Here is a 25,201-nt window from a genome sequence, read left to right on the forward strand (position 1 = left end):
ACTAATTTTAGATATGATTTTATTTTTCTGGCCACCCGTGGACTTGTCACAAATTAATTAAATGCTTCACTTCTTTTATCTAATTGAGGCCATTTCTACCTCTGATGAATAATTTCATAAAGTTTGTTACAAAGGAAAATGCTTTCTGAGTGATAGTTTATGCAAAGTAAACACACAGAACAGCTCTATTTGAACCTTTGCTTGTGGCAAAGGCTTTCCATACACTCCACAGGAAGTTGTTCCCTCTCAAAGAAGGCCAGTGTCTTCCTTTTTTAACGTACAGCATGAAAATGTACTTGACCCCAAGCTTCAAAGCAGAGAAGTCAGCTTTATCTAGCAGGGACAATGCGCATTAAATCAATAAAATGGCAGGGGTATGAAACCAGTGGAATTGGGAATTGGATTCCAGTCAGGGTCAATCAGCCCAAAGTAGAGATCTAATATTTTCTGAATGAACTGTTTGAAGCACTGGCCTTCAGAATCATTGTCAGTTTTTGATGACTTCCTCAGGCAACATAGTGTCACACACAGCAAGAGGGTCACAAACCCAGATGCCTACAGGGGCCGGATACAGAAAAGAAATAAGTGAAGCTGGCTAGGTAGGAGATCATAGACAGTGATGGAGACTCGGTCAGGACTTTGGTCAGTGCCTGGGTAATCTCACACAGTCAGCACATAGTGAGTTCCAGCCAGTTTCTGCCTCCTGGGAATGCTGGAGTGTTACAAAGCCTCCTGATTTTTTAAGAGCCGCTATGAATCTTTTTTCTTTTAAATGTTAGAAACTCATTTAAAATATATGAAAGCAGACACCAGCCACAAATAGGTATTTTTGGAGTCAGAGTTTGCATAAGACTTTAGATATGATATATTCCAAATTCCCTACTTTTCTGAAGGAAGAAGGAGGGAAGAAGAACATCAAGAATTGGAGGACATTTAGGATGATGGCAAGGCCTCTGAACGTACAAAAAGGGGGTTTCCATCAGCACCACTCTTCAAACCAGAAATGCTAAACGCAGAGAGGATTAACATGGCAGAAGGAGAATTACTCATTTAGTATCACCTCTTTATAAGCAAGGAGACTTGTCTAGTCACCCAACTGCTGAGCATCAGAACTGGGACCAGGCAATACTCATAGTAAAATTAGAAAACTTGTGAAAACCTCAGGGAGAATATAAATTCCAGTTCATTCTATAATAAAGTCTCAAAGACCACCAAGGGTAACTTGTACAAGTCCTATCATTAGTTAGGGACAGAGCCTATCTACCAGTTGTATATGGTACAAATATTTTTGAGCATATGAATATGCAACAATTTTTTTAAAACTCTTCCTTCATTATATTAAGACTTTTTAAAAAATGTTATTTATGGGATAGTTTATTTATCAGAGGGCTGCTGGGTTCATCTACTCTGGCTGCTAATGACAGATGAATCACCATTCAGCATTTACTGAATATACATTCATTAAAAATGCAGTCTATGGAGGCTCTGTAGAAATATGGAAAGTTGTTATCAGTGCAAAACTTGAAATAAAATTGTATGCACATTGTTATAACTATTTTTATAGTTGAATTGCAAAAACTTGGAAGGGAAAACACCAAAAGTATCTGTTAAAGAGGTGAAATTAGAAGTGATTTTTTAAAAAGTCTTCTGCATTATTATATGGTGATATTAATTTCAATTTAAAAATATATAGCCACGAAAATAAATTATTACTTGAACAACTATTGAAAGTCCAGCAATGTGCTAGTTGCCATAGGGAGATAAAATTCTATTAGCTAGTATAGAGGAGAAAAGGTAACATCTTTTTCTCACCCATTGCAGGGTTCATGATTAAGATCCCTGTAACAGAAAACCAGATTAACAACAGAAAAGCATACAGATTTATTTAATATAAGTTTTATGGAATACTGAAGCCTACAGAAATGAAGACCTAAATAAACAGGGTGTAATGTTGTAAAATATATATTTGGTCTTCATGCCATGTCCTGGCATATGATTTCTAAAATCTTTGGAATCTCCAAAGTGCTGTTTTTCTGTATGCTAATGTTGACTGACCACTTCAAGATGGGTCTGGTCACCAGAAAGACAAAGTCATGCTTAGAGGATTGGTACTTTCAACCCCAACCTTTGGGGAAAGAAGAGGGACTGAAGGTCAAGCTGATCACCAGTGGTCACTGTCTTAACCAATCATGCCTATGTAAAGAAGCCTTCATAAAAACCCAACAGGACAGGGTGCAAAGAGCTTCCAGAAAGCTGAACCCATGGAGGATCCTGGAGGGTGGCTCACCCAAGCAGGGCGTGGAAGCTCCACGCCCCTTCCCCAATACCTCGCCCTATGCATGCCTTCATCTGTATCCTTTGTGATATCCTTTATGATAACCAGCAAACATTGCGTTCCCCTGTGTTATTTGAGCCACTCTAGCAAATTAATTGAACCCACAGTGGGTCATGGGAACCTCAACTTGAAGCCAGTCAGGCAGAAGTTCCAGAGGCCCAAATTTGCAACTGATATCTGAAGTGGGGGAGCAGTTTTGGGGACTGAGTCTTCAGCCTGTGAGATCTGACCAGGTATATTCAAAATGATATAGAAGGACCCCCAAGTGGTATCTGCTGCAGAATTCATTGCTCACTTGGTGGTGGGAAGAAACCCCCTCCCACGCACACACATTTGGTCACAGAAGTCTTCTGTGTTGATGATTGCTGTGGTGTGAAAGCAGAGGGAAAATTGTTTCAGTTTTTTCTAAACACAAGGAAAACTATTTTTATGTTTACATTTGATGAAGAGTGGAAAGTCGTATAGAGATATGATTGAACAAAAAGGGGCATGATCTAAAGGAAATAAACGGGGGAACTTAGCACGGCCTGTTTGTTCAGCTTCTCCTTAGAGTCTCTACCTTCATTCCTTTCCTCTGGATATAGGGAGGACCCCTCTGGAATGCAGGTCTTATGACCTACTTTAGATGAAGGTCAGAAAATCTTTTATGTCCTGCTTCAGGGGAGAACCACAGGAGGAGATTAGAAAGACCTTCCTGCTTCTGCTGTTTGCTGAAGTGACAATATGCCATATTTTGGGGTAGCGTGTCCTGAACCTAATCAATAGGCTCACTTGTAAAATGAGAATGTTGAGAGATAATGAAATAATTATAGAAAGAAAGAAATCTGAAATGAATGTACAAACAATAGGCTTTAGATTCTCACAGACCTGGATTTTTGTTCTCAGCTCTGTCATTTAGGCATATTGCCTTGGGAAAGGAACTTAAGTGTTCACAAAGTCTCAGATTTGTGATCCGTAAAATCCAGATGATGATAATACCTTCATCATGGTTGAAATGAGACAATGCATGTAAAGCACTTAGTGAGAAGCCTGTCATGGAGACATGGCCGTTAAATGTTAGCTATTTTCACTACCATTGTGGATTTTATCCTTCTACAGAACTAGTAATAATAATCATAATAGCACTAGCAATCTAGTAATTATAGTAGTGATCACTCATTATTGAAATGGGCTCCCCCTGTTGGCCAGGCAGTGTTGGGACTTTTATCTGATTGTTCTCTAAATTTCACAACAATTTTTTTAAAAAAATCAGTATTATTAATAAATATTATTCAGTACTATTTATAAAGCAGGTGAGACTCAGAGTGTAAGTAATGGTTCTAACATCTCATAGCTAGACATAGAGGAGCTGGGATTTAAATTCAGACATGTATGATTCCAAACAGTTCTTCATACTGTTCTGTAGAAAAATCTATGTGTAGCCCTAGGAAATGATGTGACTTTATATAAGCAAGAGCAAGTGGGGAAGTGTTGGGGTTGGAGATGTTTCACTGGTTGGGTTGCCTGGGATTGGATGCTATGCCAAAAAAGAACCTAAGAGTGAAAGAGGAAGATAGCACCTGTGGAGTAAGCCAGGCTGCCAATGCCAAGGAACCCATGGTCCAAAGACCAAACCAAACAAGTACTCAGCCCCAAAGACAAGGCAATTATAGGCAAGCAGTACTCAATGAGAAAACCAACCAGAACAGAACCAGAGACAGCCAGTGGGAGCTTACTCAGCCTGTGTTCATTCCCGTCGGGGTTGGGAGTGGTATAGGAAAATGTCGTCGTTTATTTATGTATTTTTATGTTATTTTGGAGACAGGGTCTCGCTCTGTCACCCAGGCTGGAGTGCACTGGCACTATTACAGCTCACTGTAAACTTGAACTCTTGGGCTCAAACGATCCTCCTTCCTTGGCCCCCAAAGCTCTGGGGTTACAGGCATGAGGCACCACGCTGGGCCCAGTTCGAGAGTATTCATAACATTGGTTGGGCAACTTGCTTTGGAAGGCTGTACTATCTTGCTTTATCTGAGATATTCAAGTGCTTTTAAGATCTTTATCAACTCCAATTAGACTTCAACAGCATTTGGCAGCTTTCTACATATATCGTGTTTCAAGGTTGTTGATATCTCTTGTTTTTATCTATGGTAGAGCTTTCACTTCCCTTTTACATTCTACTTGTTGCTTTAGGGTGATCTCCACCAGGAAAGGAATCAATAATTCGCTTTATGTACCCAGTAGAAAACTGTATGTTTCTAAAAACCTTCTAAAGGAAGCAGCTACTGAAAAACAACATAATAAAAGGAAAATGAATTGTGAAAATACATATGTAAAGGGATAAATTGTATATGTAAAGGAAAGTAAAAGCCAGGAGCCTATTTTACATTATACAGCCTTATAATTTGGAAATTTCTTCATAGCATCATTATAATGTGAGGCAGTATGGAGTATGATTAAGGGCATGGATTTTTAAATCAGCAACCTCTGTTTAAGTCCTACCTGTTACTTTAGCAAATCAGTTGTCTTAACCCTTTATGTAAAAAAGGGAATATCAGGGGGATTTATCTTACAAAATTGTTTTAAGGATTAAGTGAGCTACTCTATGCAAAGCACATTTCAAGTCCCTGTCTTAGTCAGTTAGAGCTGTCATAACAAAATACCATAAACTGGGTAGTTCGAACTATAGAAATTTGTTTACTTAGAGTTTTGGAAGCTGAGGAATACAAGATCAAGGTGCCACCTGACTTCCTTTCTGGTGAGGGCTCTCATGCTGACTTGCAGACAGATGCCTTTTTGCCGTGTCCTCACATGGCTGAGACAGTGCGAGCTCTTTGGTATCTCCTTTTATGAAGACAGTATCATGTCAGACAAAGGCTCTACCCCATGGCCTCATTTAACCTTAATTACTTCCTTACTTTAGATATAGGCATACTGGGGGTCAGGATAGCAACATCTGAATTTTAGGTGAACACAGTTAAGTTCACAGCAGTTCACAGCCATCCCCATTACATGTTTTAATTTTATTTGTTTATTTCTTTTTCGAGAAAGGGTCTCACTCTGTCACCCAGGCTTATAGTGCAGTGGCATGATCATAACTCACTGCAGCCTCAACCTCCTGGGCTCAAACGATCCTCCTGCCTCAGCCTACTGAGTAGCTGAGACCACAGGTGTGCGCTACCATGCCTGGCTACTTTCTTCACTTTTTATAGAGATAGGGTCTCACCATGTTGCCCCAGCTGACCATTTTTTAATATACCAATTAAATTCACCAAACATATACTTGTTTAAATTTAACTCAAAGATATAACTTCTATTAACATTTCTTAATATATTGTAATTGAGATAAAGCACAGCATTATCATATATCATTATTGTATATTATATGATATATCTAATATTATTATATTATTATTATGGGATTTATCTTACAAGATTGTTTTAAGGATTAAGTGAGATACTCTATGTAAAGCACATTGCGTAGTCCCTGTCTTAGTCAGCTAGAGCTGTCATAACAAAATACTGTAAACTGGGTAGTTCATAGATGTATGATTATGTATGTGTCATGTATCATGAAAATGATTTACATTTTCTCCCATTCTCTGTGGCCCATGGCATTTTAAGGACTTCATAAAAATTGGCTATAATTATTATTTTTATTGGAGAAGAGATACACTCCATATGCCTCTTCTATTAAATTTTACCATTTTAGTAGTTTTAAAATGTATAAATCAGTTCTTTTTAGCATATACACAATTTTGTGAAACTATCACCACTATCCACTTCCAGAATATTTCCATTACCCCCAAAAAGAAACCCCTTACCACCTAGTAGCCCTTTCCAACACCTTCTTTCCCTCATATACTGGGAACTACTAGTCTGCTTTGTGTGTCTATGTATTTGCCTATTCTGGACATTTCTTATGAATGGAATTATGCAATATGTGACCTTCTGTATCTGCTTCTTTCACTTCTCATAATATTTTCAAGATTCATCTCTATTGTCACATGTATCCTTTTCATGGATGAATAATATTCCACTGTATTGATCTATGACATTTGTTTATCCATTCATCAGTCAATGGACATTTGAGCTATTTCTACCTTTTGGCTATTATTAATAATACTGCTATGAACACTTGTGTAAAAGTGTTTATGCAGACCTGTGTTTTCAATTCTCTTGGGTATTGTGCAAAAAAGAGTTAACAGGCCTGACTGCTGCGCTTTGAAAAGCCTGGTTTAAAAGGTTGGCCCTTTATTGGCATGTGGAAACCTGGATTTCAGTAGGGTGCCCACTACCCTAACTGGTAAGAGTGGCTCACTGTTCCTAAATTGTGCAAATAATATGGTTTTTTATGAACACCTTATTTCCTTCTGGGAATCTGGAATTTTGGTATATGTCAAGCAGAGGCTGCCTACATGACCAGCCCCCAGTGAAAACCCCGGGTACTAGTCTTTAATAAGTGCCCTTGGCTGGCGTTTTCACACGTGTTTTCATAATTCATTGCTGTTTTATGTGCATCTCCTGGGAGAAGACTTGGGAATCTTGCCTCTGATTTCCTCCAGTCTTCACTCCATGTGTTTCTTCCCTTTGCTGATTTTTCTCTGTATCCTTTTACATTATGATCTAATAAGTCATAACTGTGAGTATGAATATATGCCAAGTCCTGTGAATCCTCCTAGTAAAACATCAAACCTGGGGTTGGTTTCGGGGACTCCTAACACAAGTATATACCTAGGGATGAAATTTCTGGATCAACTTTTTGAGCAACTGCAAACTGTTGGCCATAGTATCTACACTATTTTACATTACCACTAGCAACATTTGAGCCTTCTGACTTCATGTAATCACTCCAATACTTGCCATCATTTATTTTCTGGGTTTTTTTGTTTTGGTATTTGGTATGTATTTCTTTAATAGCCAGTCTACTGGGTATGAAGTGCTATCTCATTTGATTTGCATGTCTCTAATATCTAATAATGTGGAGCATCTTTTCATGTGTTTATTGACCATTTATACATCTCTGTTTGGAGAAGTGTTTATTCAAGTCCTTTACCTATTTTTTAAATTGAGTTGTTTTATCATTATTGAGTTGTAAGATTCTTTTCATATGTTGAATACTAGATTATTATTAGATACATGATTCACAAATATTTTCTCCCATTCTGTGCATTTTAAGCACTTCAAAAAATTTGGCTATAATTATTATTTTTAATCAATGATCCTTCAAATCACTAGGCTTTTCTCATTGACCAAAATAGCCTCATATATATTATCACCATATGCATACATTTTCTTGGTTTTTTTTTTAACCCTTTAACGTTTGCTATGTTGATAGCATACTGATTTCTCTATGTTGGGAAAGTATATTTCACACATTTTGGTAATTATCTATGGAATATTTATAAATATCTCTATTATGTGCTGGATATTTTGCCCAGAGTAGAAGCATATTAACTGACAAGGGCCAACTCCTGAATTCCCTTTTAGAAAATGTTAACAACTGCTCAGATCCTACTTCAGGATGCTTTTCGTGTCAAGATCCCAAAGGTTTGATAAAGAATGGTTGGTTTTCATTTGAGATAGTCATTACCCAGACAAGGTTGGTTATATTTCACTTAATGTTTTTATGGCTTCTAACACAACCAGTAGTTTTCTATTTATTTCCTGGGAGTAGGGAAGGATAGTTGTGTTGCTTGAAGTGTATTTTTTATTATTTTTGCTATTAAATGAGAACAACAAAAATTCACTGTAATTATTAACTTTCTTTCATTTTCACATTTATTTCTGTAATTTCTCAAGTCCCTGAAATACCCTGAAGAGACTTATCTAGTTAAATAGTTAATATTTTGTTGTGAAAGTTTTACTATAAGCCAAACATTTTACTTTTTGTTTTTAAAGTAAATGTAGACATATGCACATTCATATGCAAAATGATGGGCCCAAATTGGATCAGGGATTTTTAACCTGAAATCCATAGATTATCTTCAGGGAGGTGTCTGAAGCCCCTGAAATTGCATGTACATATTAACTCCCCCCATCTACTTATCAATGTGTTCTCTAATTTAAAAAATGATTAAGAACTACTGGACTAGATAAGTCTTAGATCTGTCCAGATTAGGTTATTTTTAAAAATTCAGTTACTAACCATCAGCTTGTCAGTGAAGATATGTTCAATGAAGGAAGGGAGGGACCTTGTCAATCTTTTTTCACTATTGTATCCTCTACATGTGAAACACGGTACGTACTCAGAAAACATTTGTTGAATTAGTCAATGAATGAATGATTAAGGAACAATTTCTCCATAGAGTGACCTAACATTAGAACATTAGAAACAAGGTTCATAAGGACAAGACTTCACTTTTTTTTTTTTTTTTAGACAGAGTCTCACTCTGTCGCCCAGGCTGGAATGCAGTGTCATGATCTCGGCTCACTGCAACCTCGCCTCCTGGGTTCAAGTGATTCTTCTGCCTCAGCCTCCCAAGTAGCTGGGACTGCAGGAATGCACCACCATGCCCAGCTGATTTTTTAGCAGAGACAGGATTTCACCATGTTGGTCAGGCTGATCTCGAATTTCTGACCTCAGGTGATCCACCTGCCTCGGCCTCCCACAGTGCTGGGATTACAGGCATTGAGTGACCACGCCCAGCTAATTTTTATATTTTTAGTAGAGACGGGGTTTCACCATGTTGGCCAGGCTGGTCTCAAACCCCTGACCTCAGGCGATCCGCCTGCTTGGGCCTCCCAAAGTGCTAGGATTACAGGCGTGAGCCACCACGCTGGGCCAAGACTTCACTTTTGAAATAGAATGAAAAGTTAATTTACATAGAAAATTCAAAAATTGACTTTCTTGGTGGGCTAAGCCTCAGCTAGTTCTCTCAAAGACCTTCCAGAAGAACCAGGTTCTATTATAAACAATAGTTGACAAGTAATCAGGATATGTAGTGTTCAGCCCTAGTTCTGCTATATACCAGCTTATTCTACATTCCAAGTTGTTTTGTTTGTTCATTAACTCATTCATTAAGGATGGATCAGATATCCACAGTGTGGCAGAAAGAATGATAAAAGCTGGGGAACAATGACCACATTAACTCAAGTGTCTATCTTCTAAGAGCTTGCAAGCAATAGACAAGTAAGTAAAGTATTATAAGTGTGACTAGGGTAAGTATCATGGTGTACAGAATGCTTTGAAAGCAGAAGGAAAGGCCATTTCATTATAGGGAATTTTTTGTTGCCTGACAAAAATACAGATATTTCCTATTTTTTGCTACATTACACTTTGCTTCTTTTTGATGTCAATGAGATAGAGATGCCATGACATCAAAAGCCAGAAACCAACCAAAGGGATTTATACTGCTTTTATACCCTATTAAATGCAGGTAGACATTACCTACCCTCTTTCCAGCCCTGTCTGAAGGTGGCTTTCTTTTATAGTCTAAACTATTCTGAGCCTGAACATTGAGCATAACTCGTTCAGAGACCTGGGGAAGATTAAAGGTAGGTTTTCTGGGACTTACACCTGAATTTTTATGTACCCAACTGAGCCATCAGTTTTGGGAAAGAGAGGGCAAAGGTGGAAAGATGTGCTTGCTCACTTTATTACTCTCCTAGAGGCAAAAAATTTGTGTCCATGGTGATTTATGTTCAAAAAGATCTTATTCCATCTAGACCACAGAAAGTCACATGTGTCTTCCTATCTATTAGATAAACACTAAACAGAAACAAGGGTGCATTCTCCTTCCTATGCCAAACACTTCCCCTCCCCCAGCATTATAGACTTTAAAGAATTTAAAGACATTTTGTGTTTACATACTTGTGTAAGAATTATTAGGTGCCAGAAACTAATCTCAGCACTTTAAATATATTAAGGGATTTAACACTTACATCCTATAAACTGGGCTCCATTTCACAAGGAAGTTGAGGCACAAAGTCTAAGTAACTCACTCAATGTTGCATAGTGGTAGAGCTGAGATTTTGAACCCAGGCACTGTGGTTTTGACCCCTATAGCTTATAGACATTAGCATATTCTTTTTTTGTTTGTTTGTTTGTTTTGAGACAGAGTCTTGCTCTGTTGACCAGGCTGGAGTGCAGTGGCATGATCTCGGCTCACTGCAACCTCCACCTCCCAGGTTCAGCAATTCTCGTGTCTCAGCCTCCCGAGCAGCTGGGATTACAGGCATGTGCCACCACACCTGGCTAATTTTTATATTTTTAGTAGAGATGAGGGTTCACCATGTTGGCCAGACTGGTCTCCAACTCCTGACCTCAGGTGATCCACCCACCTCAGCCTCCCCAAATGCTGGGATTACAGACGTGAGCCACCACGCCCAGCCAAGATAATTGGTTTAGAATCAGTTTTCTAATTCTATCTGCATCCCTTAAGAGAGAGAAAAAGAAACAAATCATGGTAGTGGCAGAGTAACCAAGGCTTTTGGGGCCTCACTGTATTTGTCATTAAGTTAGGATGCAGAAATAATACCTGCCTTAGCTTATACAGTGTGGGTTGGGGAACTCTGCCATGAACATGGAAGTATTAAGCACTGACACATGATATACTGATGCCACTGCTGCTATTTCATGTCCGGCATTGCTCTTCCTGCATATGGTACTGAAGGCACACCTACTGCTGTGTGCATATGTGAGTGTGAGTGTATGTGTGTGTGAGAGAGAGAGAGAATTTGTTTGTTGCAAACACACTAAGCACCCTCTTACTGCTACAGGGCTCTGTCAGTTACTGCTGTTTTTGCCTGTAGTGCTTATCAGTGATAGCCTCAGGGTTTGCCTGCTCACCTCCTTCAAGTCTTGGATCAGATATCCTTTTCTCAGAAAGGACTTCACTGTCAACTCTATTTGCTATGGTCTGAAAGTTTTGTCCCCATTAAGTTCATATGTTGAAATCCTAACCCTGAAGGTTGGGCCTTTGGGAAGGGATTAAGTCATGAGGGCAGAGCCCCCATGAATGAGATTAGCACCCATGTAAGAGAAGCCCCAGAGAGCTGCCTTTCCCCTTTGCTATGTGAGGACACAGCAAATGGGTGCCCTCTATGAACCAGAAAGTGGGCTTCACCAGACACCAAATCTGCCAGCACCTCGTGCTTGGACATCTCAGCCTCCAGAACTGTAAGCAATAAATTTCTGTTGTTATGAAGTTACCCAGTTTATGTTATTTTGTTAAAGCAACCTGAACAGACTAAGACGCTATTTAAAATTGCAGTGTTCTTCCTAGATTCTCTATTCCCTTTCTTGATATACTTAACTTCACAATACGAATGACCTTTCAACAAGCTATGTAAATTACTTAATCTGCTTCCCACAGCCTAGAATGTGAGCTCCTTGGACAGTGTGTTTACTTCTCTCTGTCTATCCTCAGTGTGAATAGTCTAGTACATAGTGGGTACTCAGTAAATACTTGTTGAATGAATGAAAGATGTTAATCCATTATCCCCTGTCAGTTACTTCTTACTTAGTTGACATGTTTCTCAAGCAAGCAGATGCTTTTGCAATAAAGGTAGAGAAGGTCACAGTCATCCACCTTCTCTGTGGCTAGAGGTGTATGGGAAGGGATTTGAGGATCATTTGATAGCGAAATGAAGAGGACAGGTGGATGACTTATTCAAAAGACCCAACAACTCAATGGACGTGCTTTTTACCTCATCTTAAGAAAGCTAAGAAAACGTTTTTTTCCTCTCTTTTGATAAGCCTGTGAATTCAAGTCAATGGCATTTTTTCTGCTGCCATTTATCCTTTCACAGAAAGGGTTTTTGCTTTGTGTTTGCCCAAATCAGTGTGCATGCCACTTTACCTTATGACAAAATGACATAGAAAAGGCAGAATGCCCAATAATTGGTGCAAATTTTATGCTTGTCATTTTGAAAGGTTATAAATCCCCTCTTTTATAATGTTTTCTATAGAGGATACTTTAGGACAGAATATCCCTTCTGTACATCAATATGCTGCTAATTCCAAAAAAGAACAACTTTGTAATTTGAAAGAATTGGTAACAAGTGTGGCATATGATGAATCACATTTATCCATTCTGCTGTCTATTGAAGGGAAATGGACTTTCACTTGTTTCCTTCTAAACCAAAGTTTCAAGACATAAATATTGACAAAATAGATTATCTCTCTTCCTAAGGGATGATTCCATCATTCTTTCCCACTATATTTCTAGGTAAAAGTGGACCAGTTTTACTGTTATCCAAACAATAAATGGGAGGAAACTTCAGGTACTATGAAAAACATTTCATTTTTAATTGGAAAATCAAGATTCTGGTGAGAGCTCCATCACTGCGTATCTGTGTGACTTTGGATACACCACCTAATCTTTGCAAACCTTTGTTTACTCGCCTCAAAAAGTGGGGTTTGATAAAAATCTGAACTCACTCACATTTAATATGCCATTTTACTCACAGCCTTAGTCCATTTGTGCTGCTATCACAAAATACCTGAGACTATATTATGCATAAAGAACAGAAATTTATTTCTCACTATTCTGGAGACTGGAGAGTCTAAAATCAAAGTACCGGCAGGTTTGGTGTCTGGTGAGGGCTGCTCTGTGCTTCCAAGGTGGCACCCTGTTATTGCGTCCTCCAGAGGGGATGAAGGCTGTGTCTTCACACGGTGGAAGGGACAAAAAGGCAAGAGGGTTGAATGCTGTTTGAAGCCTCTTTTATGAAGGCCTTAATCCCATTCATGAGGGAGGAGTCCTCATGACCTTATCACTCTCCTAAGGGCCTTACCTCTAAATACTGTTGCGTTGAGGATTAAGTTTCAACATAAATTTTGAAGGGGGCACACACATTCAAACCATAGTGCTCAGCGTACCAGAATCTCATGTGTTACTTGGTGCTGGTAATCATAGAGAGCAGTTGCCGTAGTGTATCATAATGCCAGTAAGTACTTGGCTCTGATCTTAGAAGAAACCAAGTTCAGTCCCTGTTCTGCAGCCTCTTATAACGGTGGCCTGTCTCCAGGCCTCTCTTTTCCATCATTAAATGAGGAAGAGCATAGCTCTTGTCTGTGGGTTATATGAACCAGCCCCCAATAACCATTTTTACTTTGTAGAGAGCCTAACCTTATTATGTACTCAGTAAATGATGGTTATTATTGTCATTATTTTACATGGCTCTAAAGAGGATACATAGGGGTTATCTTTTGAGGAAGGGAGAGTCAGAGTTGATTTGTAGTTTTGTAAACACTCTTTTTTCAAAGCTGAGCAAATCTCTGCCTAAGTTGAATGATTATGGCTTTGTTTATCCTTCTCTGACAGGACTTTCTAGTTTCAGTCAGTGGGTAATGTAGAACATATGTCTGGTTTGGATTTCCCGACAAACTTTCAATTAAAATACCAATGTCCCACCAGGAAGAACCGTATCTGGAGCCCCTTACCTGCCATAAACTTTATCTACATTGTGTTCTCATTCCCAACTTCACTGTAGACATCATGATAGCCCTATCTCCTAAGAAACAATGTGAAAAATAATTAAAATAGTTTCACACCAGAAAGAAAAGCACACCAAACTCAAATTTAGTGGACCTGTTAGAAATATGTTCTCCAAGTTTTGCTTGAGTAGCTTTCAGATTACTCCCTTTCACGCTTCCTAGTATATATATTGACGCATTCACTATGTGCCAAATTACAAACCTGAAACATTTAGAGAAAGACAGAAGTAGGGTACTTTAGCTGCCAAAGAGACAGGTGCAAAGGCTCATGAATATTAGTTGAGGAGCTGCGGTGCATATAACATGAAAGTACTGCCTGCAGGCATTCTGTGATTGGGCAGTTTAATGTCAGTGGGAAACGGAGGGTGTCACTGGGGAGTTAAAAACAACAGCAGTTCACCCCAGAAGGGCTTAAAACAGATAGTCTCCAGGAAACTGTGAAATTATGACTGAACGTAGAAAGGGCAACCTCTCCACTTTGGTCGTACTTTTGTTTAGATGAGAAGGAGGATGGTTTGGCTCTTGGGAGCGTTGGAGAGATAGCTGGGGAAAGAAACGGTGGTTTCTCCCAGTCCCACAAAAGGTTGGACAACTCTGGATTATAGTACTCTTAATACATGACAACTAAAGCGTCAGAAGCCAAAGCAGATCTTCTAGATCATTTATACCTCCTATTAAACAGAAAAATATATCCCTATGAGCATGGATAATGGGAGACACTGTTCATTCAGAGCATAAAAGAGAGGCATTTCCAGCATTTGATTTCAGAGCCATGCAAGTGCTCTTTTTTCCTTGGTTATCAGCTCTGGCAGCCACCTGGTGCTTAAAACAGCCTGATGTGGTTGCTGAAATTACCCTTCTATGCCCTCCTTAAATAGTGGCTCATGATTGTAGATCACCTGCATCTGTAACCCAGGGTGCAACATTCTAATGCATATGCCTGCACCCCGTCCCCAAATCTATGTAATCAGAAAGTTTGGGAAAGGCCACGGAATCCTATAGTCCTCATTTTTAACTGGCTCTCTGGGAGATTCTTTATGCGTAGAAAGAATACACAAATGCATATTGAAGGCATTAGCACTGCTTTTGGTTAACGGTCTTTTCAAAAGGCCACCATTAAAGTGTATGAATTCCAGCTTGAATCTAACAGTCTCCAGAATGACTTAGATTGTAGTTATATATATTTTTTTACAACAAGAAACTGTCCTGTAGTGGGGAAGGGCCTGGACAACACACATGATGGAGTTTTCCATATGCATCCAGAAATACCAGAAGGGGTACAGTTCAAGGAAGCAGATTTTTAGGGAGTAGTTGATCCCGGTGGTGTTCAGGTTGAAGTACAGACACAAAAATGAACAGTAAGTCCACAGAGAGAAGGCTTTTGCCTGCCACATTGCTGAAGACCAGTCTTACTTGTATGTATTCACACACACACAAGTACATTTGGAGAAATGTCAAAAAGAAATAAGAATAGAACGAAGACCAATGACATGAAGAAATAACTCACTGAATAAATTGGTGTGTACCTTTCTATGCATATAGTGTTGATCAGGAGTTTCTTAGGTACAGCTGATAACAACTGCAACTCAGATTTGCTTAAATGAAGGCAATCATTAGCTCTCATATCTGAGAATCTTAGGGATAAAGCTTGCTTGGGACGGAACTTGTTCCAGAGCTGAAACGATGCCATCAGAACTCAGTCTGTCCCTATCCTTTAATTTTGCTCTTTTCTGTTTTGGCTTCATTCTCTTTTTAGGTTCTCTCTCTCTATGTGGGAGTCTTTGGAAGCTCCAGGCTTCCTTCTGTAAGCAATTCTAGACTACAAAAGGGTTTTTTCCTTGTAGTTTTATGAAAAGTCCTGCAATGGAGTCTCATTAGCCAGGCTTTGGTCACCCATGCATGGGAACCAATTTAACCAAGAAAATGGAATATTAATTGGTCAGGCCAATTGATAATGTATAAATAAGTATTAATAACTTATCAATGCTAAGCAGTGTCATCTGCTACTCCTGACCTGTGCAGAGGATTTTAGTCTATCCAAACCACTTGAGTTGAAAGAGTAGGAGGGTTGGTTCACCAAAGAAAGAGTAGAATGCTCTTACCTAATGAGGAGCAGTGGATACTGAGGCAAAAATCACAGATGTCTACTACATAGTTATGCCAGTAGGGAAGCACCATTGAGTGAATTAGTGACCCTGATATCTCATTTACATTTCTCTAGCTAAAGCCAATCAATTTTATACATGTATGTTTCTATGCTTTTATTCTCATGAGTAAACAGTAATGCACCTAAATATAAATCGGAAAGTTTGCTGCAGTGGAGCGCTGGGTTGTTAGGGTAGTACACTACTCTGTGTGATATTGTAATGGTGGATCCATGTCCTAATACATTTGCCAGGACCACAGCATGTGCAATACGTGATGGACCCTGATGTGAACTGTGGGCTTTAGTTAATATGCATGCATTCATATTGGCTTATCGATTGTAACAAATACAGCACAGGAATGCAAGATGTTAACAATACGGGAAACTGTGTGGAGAAGGAGTGTAGGCAAACTCTCTGTGCTCTGCTCCATTTTTCTGTAAACCTCAAACTGCTCTGAAAAAATAAAGTTCTATTAATTAAAAAGATGAAGTTAGCTATAACTATTATTAGTCCTCTCTAGAGTAAACATTCCATGAGGGCAGGACAATGTCTGCTTTGCACACGGTTATGTCGCCTCCATGTAATATTGGAATTGGAATCCAATCTAGTCCCAGAAACTCGGATCAGAAGCCATTTGGGTCAGAAATGTTTGAGAATTTAAAATGTTTGTAATTTTAGAAGAGAAATATAGCCCACAAAACATGCCCAGTGTTACATAATAGCATCCCCAGCTGAGTCTGGGTCAGCACTGCATAATCAAACGCATTTCTAATTCTGCAGCAAAGCATATGAATATTCACATTGAGTCTATAAATAGTCTCCCATCAGTTCCCATCAGTTCAGGTCAGTTTTTGCCTCCAAATGAGTTACAAAGTATTTGCATTTGTTGGAAATGCTTCTTTCTTGTCATAACTAGGGCTTGGCGTCAGTATCACCCAATTACTTATTTTTAAAAGAGTCATTAATCCATTGTTCCTGGAATGTGTCAAGGTTTAAGATCAGGGTCAGAGTAGGATACATTGATACAGCCCCACGGCTGTTCTTTTCCACGCCTAAAAATCCTCGAGCAATGCACAATTTTTCCCCAAGGAGAGACCCTTTTTAGCTCCCAGCACTTCCCCGTCCTACCACTGTTTCTAAGATCTGGCATTACAAACGATTAGGGCTTCATTATGTGTGGGACAAATGCATGATGGCGGCAGCATTATTTTGTTAACAAGAGAACAAAGAAATCGTCTGAGAAGAGTTCACTTCTCATTTGGATTTTTTTCACTTTGTGCCTTCAGACATACACCAGCTGTCGGTAGACTTCTCTGTTTCTTGCTGTTTAAAATGCTCATTTGAGGGGTTAAAAGAAGGAAGGCGGAAGCAATGACAAATGAAAGTAATGTTTATCCTTTAAGCAGGCATGTCTGTCTCCTCTAATATTTGCTTTGCCTCTGCTCTATTCAGCTGAACAACCAAATAGAATACTTATTCAATAGAAACGCTGTGTGTTGGCCAGTTTTTCAAGTAGGCACTTGGGTAAGGCCTTTGAACATGCCTTGCTGTCTGTCTTATAAATACTAACAACACTAAATTGTATTAGTAATGATAGTGTGACAGCTGTCCAATCATCATTTCTACAATCAGTGATTGAATTTTAAAGGAATTCTTGCACTCAGGAAAATCACTCTTACAGTATTTCATTTGTTTGTGAATTTCCTTAGGTTATTGCCCATACGTTTTATGAGTAATTTAGATCCACAGAGATGCTGCTGATCTTACAGTTTTTTAGCCAAAATGCATTTCCCTAATCATTAGGAAGCCTGGAGGAGAAGGTTCACAGCCAGCAGGACACAGTGTGCCCTACGTGTGCCCTTCTTGGAACATGCTGGTGGTGGAAAGAGTAATGGTTCTTCCCATTGGGTTCCCCCTTGGTGTGAGTGGTGAGGGAGAAAGTGAAATATGAGCAGGACACTGAGAGCACACCCAACAACCCAGCTTAGCAGAACTTCCCCTTCCTTTTCCCTGGTGACTTTGTTCTGCAATCTGATAAAGCAACACGTTCCCACTGATTACACACACGGAGCATTTACTCTCTTGATTGGTCAAGGGCTCTGCAGGATATAGGCAAAGCCACTCTGGTTTGCACCAGGTTACTTCTGTGCATGCATAACGCAAAAAGCTACCTACCCTCCAGATGTGACCCAGGTACAACTCATATCTAAACCCATGCAGTCTTCCCTGGCTGGTATTCTAAGCTTCTATTCAAGCCCTTGTGTTCCCCATTAGGTGTCCTAGAGTTTACTTCCCAAGTGAAAATTGTTGCTCTTGAAGTGTTTCTACCCAAGACCAGGTGTTTAATCAAATAGCCCATTTGATGTCATGGGAAGATTGACTGTATATCACAGTGCTGGGTTCTTGGCTGTTATGGCAGCACTTCATACCTGCCATTAGGATTAAGGGCTTAAACAAGTTTCAGGTGCAACACCTGGGAACACCACAGCAATGACAAGTAGACTTGAACCTGGAATTTGTAGTTTTCTAAGATGAAATCATAATATTGCATTTTTGTTCTTTCCCAACAGAGTCAGTTGAATTTGCAACAGATGGAAATACTTCCAGCAAAAGAAAAGGGTGCTGTTCTAAGGGTCATGCGGCGAAATGTGGCCTTCATCCCACGGAGTAGCCGCAGAGTGATCTAGCACATAGAACAGAACTCTGCAGGGTAGTTTTTCTTCACTGGGATCCTAACCTGTTTAGAAATGAAAGTGGCCGGGCGCGGTGGCTCACGCCTGTAATCCTAGCACTTTGGGAGGCCAAGGCGGGCGGATCACGAGGTCAGGAGATTGAGACCATCCCGGCTAACACAAAATTAACAAAAAATTAGCCGGGCGTGGTGGCAGGCGCCTGTATTTCCAGCTACTCGGGAGGCTAAGCAGGAGAATCGCTCAAACCTGGGAGGTGGAGGTTGCAGTGAGCCGAGATCGTGCCACTGCTCTCCAGCCTGGGCAACAGAGTGAGACTCCATCTCAAAAAAAAAAAAAAAAAAAAGAAGAGAAAAGAAAAATGAAAGTTGTCTGTGCTCAATTCATAACTAGTTTTAAAACTTTAGAATGCATAGGCCAGGAGCAGTGGCTCATGCCTGTAATCCCGGCACTTTGGGATGCGAAGGCAGGCGGATCACAAGGTCAGGAGTTCGAGACCGGCCTGACCAACATGCTGAAACCCCGTCTCTACTAAAAACAAAAAAAATTAGCCAGGTGTGTTGGCACGCGCCTGTAATACCAGCTACTAAGAAGGCTGAGGCAGGAGAATCGCTTGAACCTGGGAGGCGGAGGTTGCAGTGAGCAGAGATCAAGCCACTGTACTCCAGCCTGAGTGACAGAGGGAGACCCCATCTCAAAAAATAAAATAAAATAAACTTTAGAATGCATAAAGATCAAGAGATGCTTGCTCAAATGCTGTTTTCTGAGTCCTGATAATTAGAATCCAGTAGGTCTGGGAGGGACTCAAGAATCTACCTGTTAACAAGCACTCTTAGCTAAGGTCATAGAGGTTCAGTATCCCTTATCTAAAATGCTTGAGACTGGAGGTGTTTCAGACTTTGGTTTTTTGTGGGGGGTGGCAGTGGATTTTGGAATATTTGCATATATATAATGAGATATCCTCAGGATGACACCCAAGTCTAAACATGAAAATCATTAATGTTTCATATATACCTTATACCTATAGCCTGAAGGTGATTTATACAATGTTTTAAATAATTTTGTGCATGAAACAAAGTTTATACTTTGAATCATCTAGCACAGGTGTCACTATCTCATGTTGGCACTCAAAAAGTTTTGGATTTTGGAACATTTCAGATTTTGGATTTTTGGATGAGGGATGCTCACCTGTTTCAGCCGGGAGGTTTCTTGACACACTTTGAGAAATAATTATTTTAGGTATAGTTTGACTTACCTTTTTACTATGTTGCTTTCTATGAAATGTTTATTTTGAGATTAGATCTACTGCCTGACTTGGTCCAGCTCCTAGGATTGTTCACAGATGCCCTGTAAAAATAAAAATAAAAACCAAAAAACTACATTTAGCATCAGTGGAATTTTCCTAGCTCCACCCACCCTCTAGCTTCCTGCTTTATGCGTGTTATCTTTTTTTGACCTTTCCCTTGGAATCCAGATTTTGTTCTGTACTTGCTCCTGTGGGCTTGATATTTGGGCATCTGCCTCACTTCCTTGAGTTAACCATCACCTGAGATTCAGGCTTATTTTTCTCTGCTCAGCCTCAGCCCAGCCCCATCCATTCAGATTCTCTTGCCCAGCCTCGCTTCCAGCAGCCTGAGTAGTATCCTGCTTGCCTGGGAGGGAAGTTCAGGAAAATGTGGAAGTGGGCCAAATTAATTAAAAGAAAAAAAAATAGAGATCATTGATGTTCCAATACAGCAAATAAATTAAGTGACACCCGGCTGCGGAGAGGTGCTTTATTACTCTTTTTCTTAGAGGGTTTTTTTTTTTAAGTCAAAAAATATTTTGTTTCCATTACAGATGTGGTCATTTTTATTCTGTAACCTAGGAAAATAATATTAAATAATATTTTCTAATGGAAAATTCTATGATTCTGTGCATCTCTTTCAGTAATCCAAAAATTTCAGATTAGCCCAGAGACACTATGTTTTACTTCTGGGACCCTTGTTTCTGGTCATGAAATCTGTGCTTTTTTCTGATAATCCAAAGATTTCCCACTCCTTGTTGAAGCATGAAAGCAGATTTTTTCAGCCTAGTCTTCTCCCTTCCCTTTATGAAGATGGGTTTATCCATCCTAATTCAAGATAATTACCGTGGTATGGAACTTTGCAGAACACTGGTAGTCTGATAGAAGTTAGCCTAGTGACTGATTGGCAGGTACCTAGTTACCAAGGAGAAACAAACTCAGGAAATCATGAAATCATGATGTAACAGTATTGGTGCCTGCACTAGATCCTCCAAGCTGTGTGTCAGATCAATGGTCTGGAATCCACAAGACTGTAGGTGAGCTCTTGGCAATCTTACTGCTCACTCCCTCATTCCTCATTCCTCCTCTTAACATGATTTTTAGGAATTCCTAGAAGGGTGGAAAATCATTGCCTTCCCCTCCTCTAATAATGTGAGCCCATGCCCCTAATTTCTCCAAGGCAGATGATGCCCTGGGGCGACTCTCACCCTTTTGGGGACCCAAGTGTAAAAACATTAATCCCAACATCCTGTCACTCAAATAAGAAGACATTCATTACTTATAAATAAATGGTAGTGGTTACAGTATAAATGCTATGTATACAAATGAAGACAAACTATAACTATAGGTCAGTGGACTATTGTGATCTCTAAGGATGCCTGCTCTTTGTCAATTCAGTGCAGTGCTTGTTGGGGAGGGTGGTGTCTCACAATTAGCTTCTGGAGTTCAACTACAAGTGTTCTAAGAAAGAGTTAGTTTATGTCAGTCCTAGGCCTTGACACATTCATGTGAGTCAGTTTTATAACTTTCTGTTCCTGGATGCTTCCCTCTCAACTATTAGTCCAGGCAGGCATGTGCTAAAATTACCTCTCTAAATCTTATCAAGCAAAGATTTGTTGGTTAGACTTTGCCCCCAAAAAAATGTGTCTAGGAGTGGGTCTAAAACCGGTGTTGGCCGATGTTCTGTTCTTAGGAAATGGAGAGCCAGGAATAGAAGGATCTGTGTTAGTAGTTCTCAAACTTCAGTGTGCAGAAGAATCACCCAGAGAGCTAGGTTAAAGGGCAGATTAATGCACCCCAGATTCTTCTGGCGTAGTCAGTCTGGACTGAGGTTTGATAAAACAAGCATGGCATGATAATAATGCAGGTGGTCTACAGTCTAACTCGGAGACGCATTGTATTATTAAATCTTGTCCTCTGTCATTTGCTGCGATGCTCTTTACCTCTTTAGACTGAAAATCACAGCCACTCTTCTGGTTACATAGAACAACTTACTGTGATAAAAAAAAAAAAAAGATGAACTTTATCTTCTAGGCTTTGAAAACGGTAAATGCAGTCTTTTGTATGTGCCTTCAAGACACTTGAAAGTCACTTTGTGGCTGCCACACAGAGATAGAACAAACTTAGGGATGCCTCTCCCCCTGTTTCATCTCAGAACGCCTCTCTCAGGACTCTTTGTCTCACCCAGGCACCTCAAGGTTTTGGTGAAATAAAGCAGCTCTTTTTTCTCAAAAACATTGTTAACCCTGGTCCGAAGGTTTAAAAGCTAGGATATCTGGGTTTTTTTTAATACCTTGATAGCTAAACTTTCTAAAATTTCTCCCTTCATCTTTGTGAGCCCAAATAGCTCGTGCACAAAAGCCTGTGGATTTCCTTCGATGAGAACTGAAATACTATTCCCTTTATGCTAATGTTAATTTTCAGGCAGTGAGCTTGGTTAACTATGAGAAAATAAAAACTTTAGATGGAATGCATTATTTATAGTGAATGCAAAGCATCATTATTATCAATTCTTGTTACAAAATACACAGAAAAAATATCTTTTTGTTATTTAAATATTGCATGGCTACATTGAGAAACAGTACAGATGTTAATCCACAGTCTCTCAGCTGCATCCTGAGTAATCATTATTACGTTTTATTCTTATGTGGAATAACTAGTAATAGACTCTATATTTCTGTATGAAATTCAAATCAGGGAACACCAATGAATTGAGATGATTGATATTATATATACACACACATAATTTTGGAATTGGGGACAACAATGGAAATATTTCTCTCTTAGAGAAAATCCACCAAACTTGTTGCTTTATTAGTGATCTTGACGAATAACATGTTTCATTTACCTAGATGTGCCAAAAATCACTTAATTCTTTACCATTGAAGTGAGCTCACATTTGACCAGTACTTAAATATGTTTTGAAAATATCTGTGTAATTGTTAAAAATCTGAAATTGAAATGTAAATATCTGGATTTTGAAATATCCAACTTTAAACACAAATTTTTTTTTTAAAGTGCATGTTTGTGTTTTTTTTTTTTTTTTTTTGAGACAGAGTCTCACAGCATCGCCTGGGCTGGAGTTCAGTGGTGTGATCTCGGTTCACTGGAGACTCCGCCTCCCAGGTTCAAGAGATTCTCCTGCTTCAGCCTCCCGAGTGGCTGGGATTACAGGCACACGCCACCATGCCCGGCTAATTTTTTTGAATTTTTAGTAGTGATGGGGTTTCACTATGTTGGCCAGGCTGGTCTCAAATGCCTGACCTCATGATCCACCCACCTCGGCCTCCCAAAGTGCTGGGATTACAGGTGTGAGCCACCGCGCCTGGCCATGTCTGCGTACTTTTATTCCATGATTTTATTTTGTGTGCTTTCATAAATCTTCTCTTTTTTGGTTGTTTTAACTTTTTATTGATGTGGTATTTTATAAATGGAGTAAGGAGAGACAGTGGTAGTGGTGATATGATTCATGACATCTTTGAATGCAAATTAAATGTGTAGGTACATGTGTGTTTATGGGAAAATATTCCTGGCTGTTTTCCCTGTCTTTGTTTTTTGTTGTTTTGTTTTGTTTTGAGATAGCGTCTTGGTTTGTTATCCAAGCTGGAGCCTGCTGGCAATGATCATGGCTCACTGCAGCCTTGATCCCCCCAGATCAAGCCATCCTCCCACCTCAGCTTCCTGAGTAGCTGGGACTAGAGGCGCATGCCACCAAGCCCAGCTAATTTTTTAATTTTTGGTAGAGATAGGGTCTCCCTGTGTTGCTCAGGTTTGTCTTGAACCCCTGGGCTCAAGCAATCCTCCACGCCTCAGCCTCCCAGAGTGCTGGGATTCCAGGCTTGAGCCACGATGCCCAGCCTGTTTTCCCATTTTTAACTGATAAAGAATCACTGGCCTAGTCTAATCTTATTGATTTATAGATGAAACACTTCAGGCATGTAGAGACTAGGTGATTTTCCTGAGGTCCTGGAGTTAGTATTTGACCCAAGGCATTGAAACTCAGTCCATGGTCTTTCTGAATCCTCACCCATCTCTTTCTCACAACAAGATCGTGGGCCGTCCTCAGTCCCCAGTAATAAGATAGAATTCTGTTTGGTCATTTTGTCTTCTTAACTTTTCTTCTATTTCAACCTTAGCATGAAGTGCTTTTTTTTTTTTTTTGTCTGAGTTAAATGTTAAATGCCTTAGAAATTACCTTACCAGGCTTCACCTAGATCCCCAAACCAACTTTATTCTTTTTTCTCAGCACTGATGCACCTGAATGAATTCAGTCTCATCCTATCACCTATCAACAAAAGGCTGGTTATGAAGTTTTTCCAGGATAGCAGTTGCAATTCTTGCCCTTCAAAATAATCACATATAAGGGGACTGCCAGTTGCAGGGTGATATTTAATATAACTTTACATCATAGCCTCTGGTGATTCTATCTTAAAACTCATCAGGCAGTGCCTAAGTAAGCTAATTGAATACATTAAAAATTGAAAAAAATACTTCAAAGTAAAGCAGATTCTTATTGATCACCGTGTGTTATATATACCACTGTACTTGGTACCACAAGAGATACAAAAATAGGTAAGATACAGTCATGCTTTCAAAGAGCTTATAATCCAAACAAGGGAAAATAAAGTGTACTCTATGTTAGGTGCACTTAGTAGAAAAAGATAAGCGTCTTGGGAAATATAGTTTTAAAATTATATTAAAGAAAAAGGTTGAGGGTCTAGCAGAGTCTTCCAGGAAAAAGAATTTGAACTTGATTTTGAAAAACGAAAATCACTTCCATGGGCGTAAGCGGCGAGATGCATTTTGAACAATATTTATTGTGTGCATAGTCTAGAAGCATGTGTACTCGACACTGCCACTTAAGGTATGGTTTGTGGATCATTCCAGTCTTTGAACTTTGTTACTGCTCCGTGACAAAATAAGTCTCATGCATCCAGTTTCTCTTATTGAGAGAAAGCACTTAGAAATGCATGGCTGTTTAACATGGCTTCACCATCCAAGCACATAATCAGTGGACTCAAATCATTGCACCTGTTATAGACCAGTTTGGGCGTTACTGAGTCATCTGTGGTACAGGCTATGTGACATTTATGCAAGGTAGACCATATATGGCTTCATAAGACGTTGGGAAAACAAAGAACCTAGTCCTTCGCTGCAGATAATGTGAGAATAAAGACTGTAGGTTGTTCTTTATTTGCATACATAGTCATTTTGAGGAAGTGTTGTGTATATTAGCAATACGGAGCTGTTACTCATTATTGACTTATTTACAGTATCGTCCTTGCTTCTTTCTAATTTTATCATCTCATTACAGCACAGAAA

The 25,201-nt window shown here is 39.4% G+C and overlaps 1 protein-coding gene across 37 annotated transcripts in view; it reads left to right on the forward strand.

Annotated features, from left to right (window-relative positions):
• The window catches only part of CNTN4 (contactin 4), a 959,094-nt gene that overhangs the window by 611,758 nt on the left and 322,135 nt on the right, over positions 1-25,201 (forward strand). The window lies entirely within an intron of this gene.

The sequence above is a fragment of the Homo sapiens genome, chromosome 3, assembly GCF_000001405.40.
Source record: "Homo sapiens chromosome 3, GRCh38.p14 Primary Assembly".
Classification (NCBI taxonomy): Eukaryota; Metazoa; Chordata; class Mammalia; order Primates; family Hominidae; genus Homo; species Homo sapiens.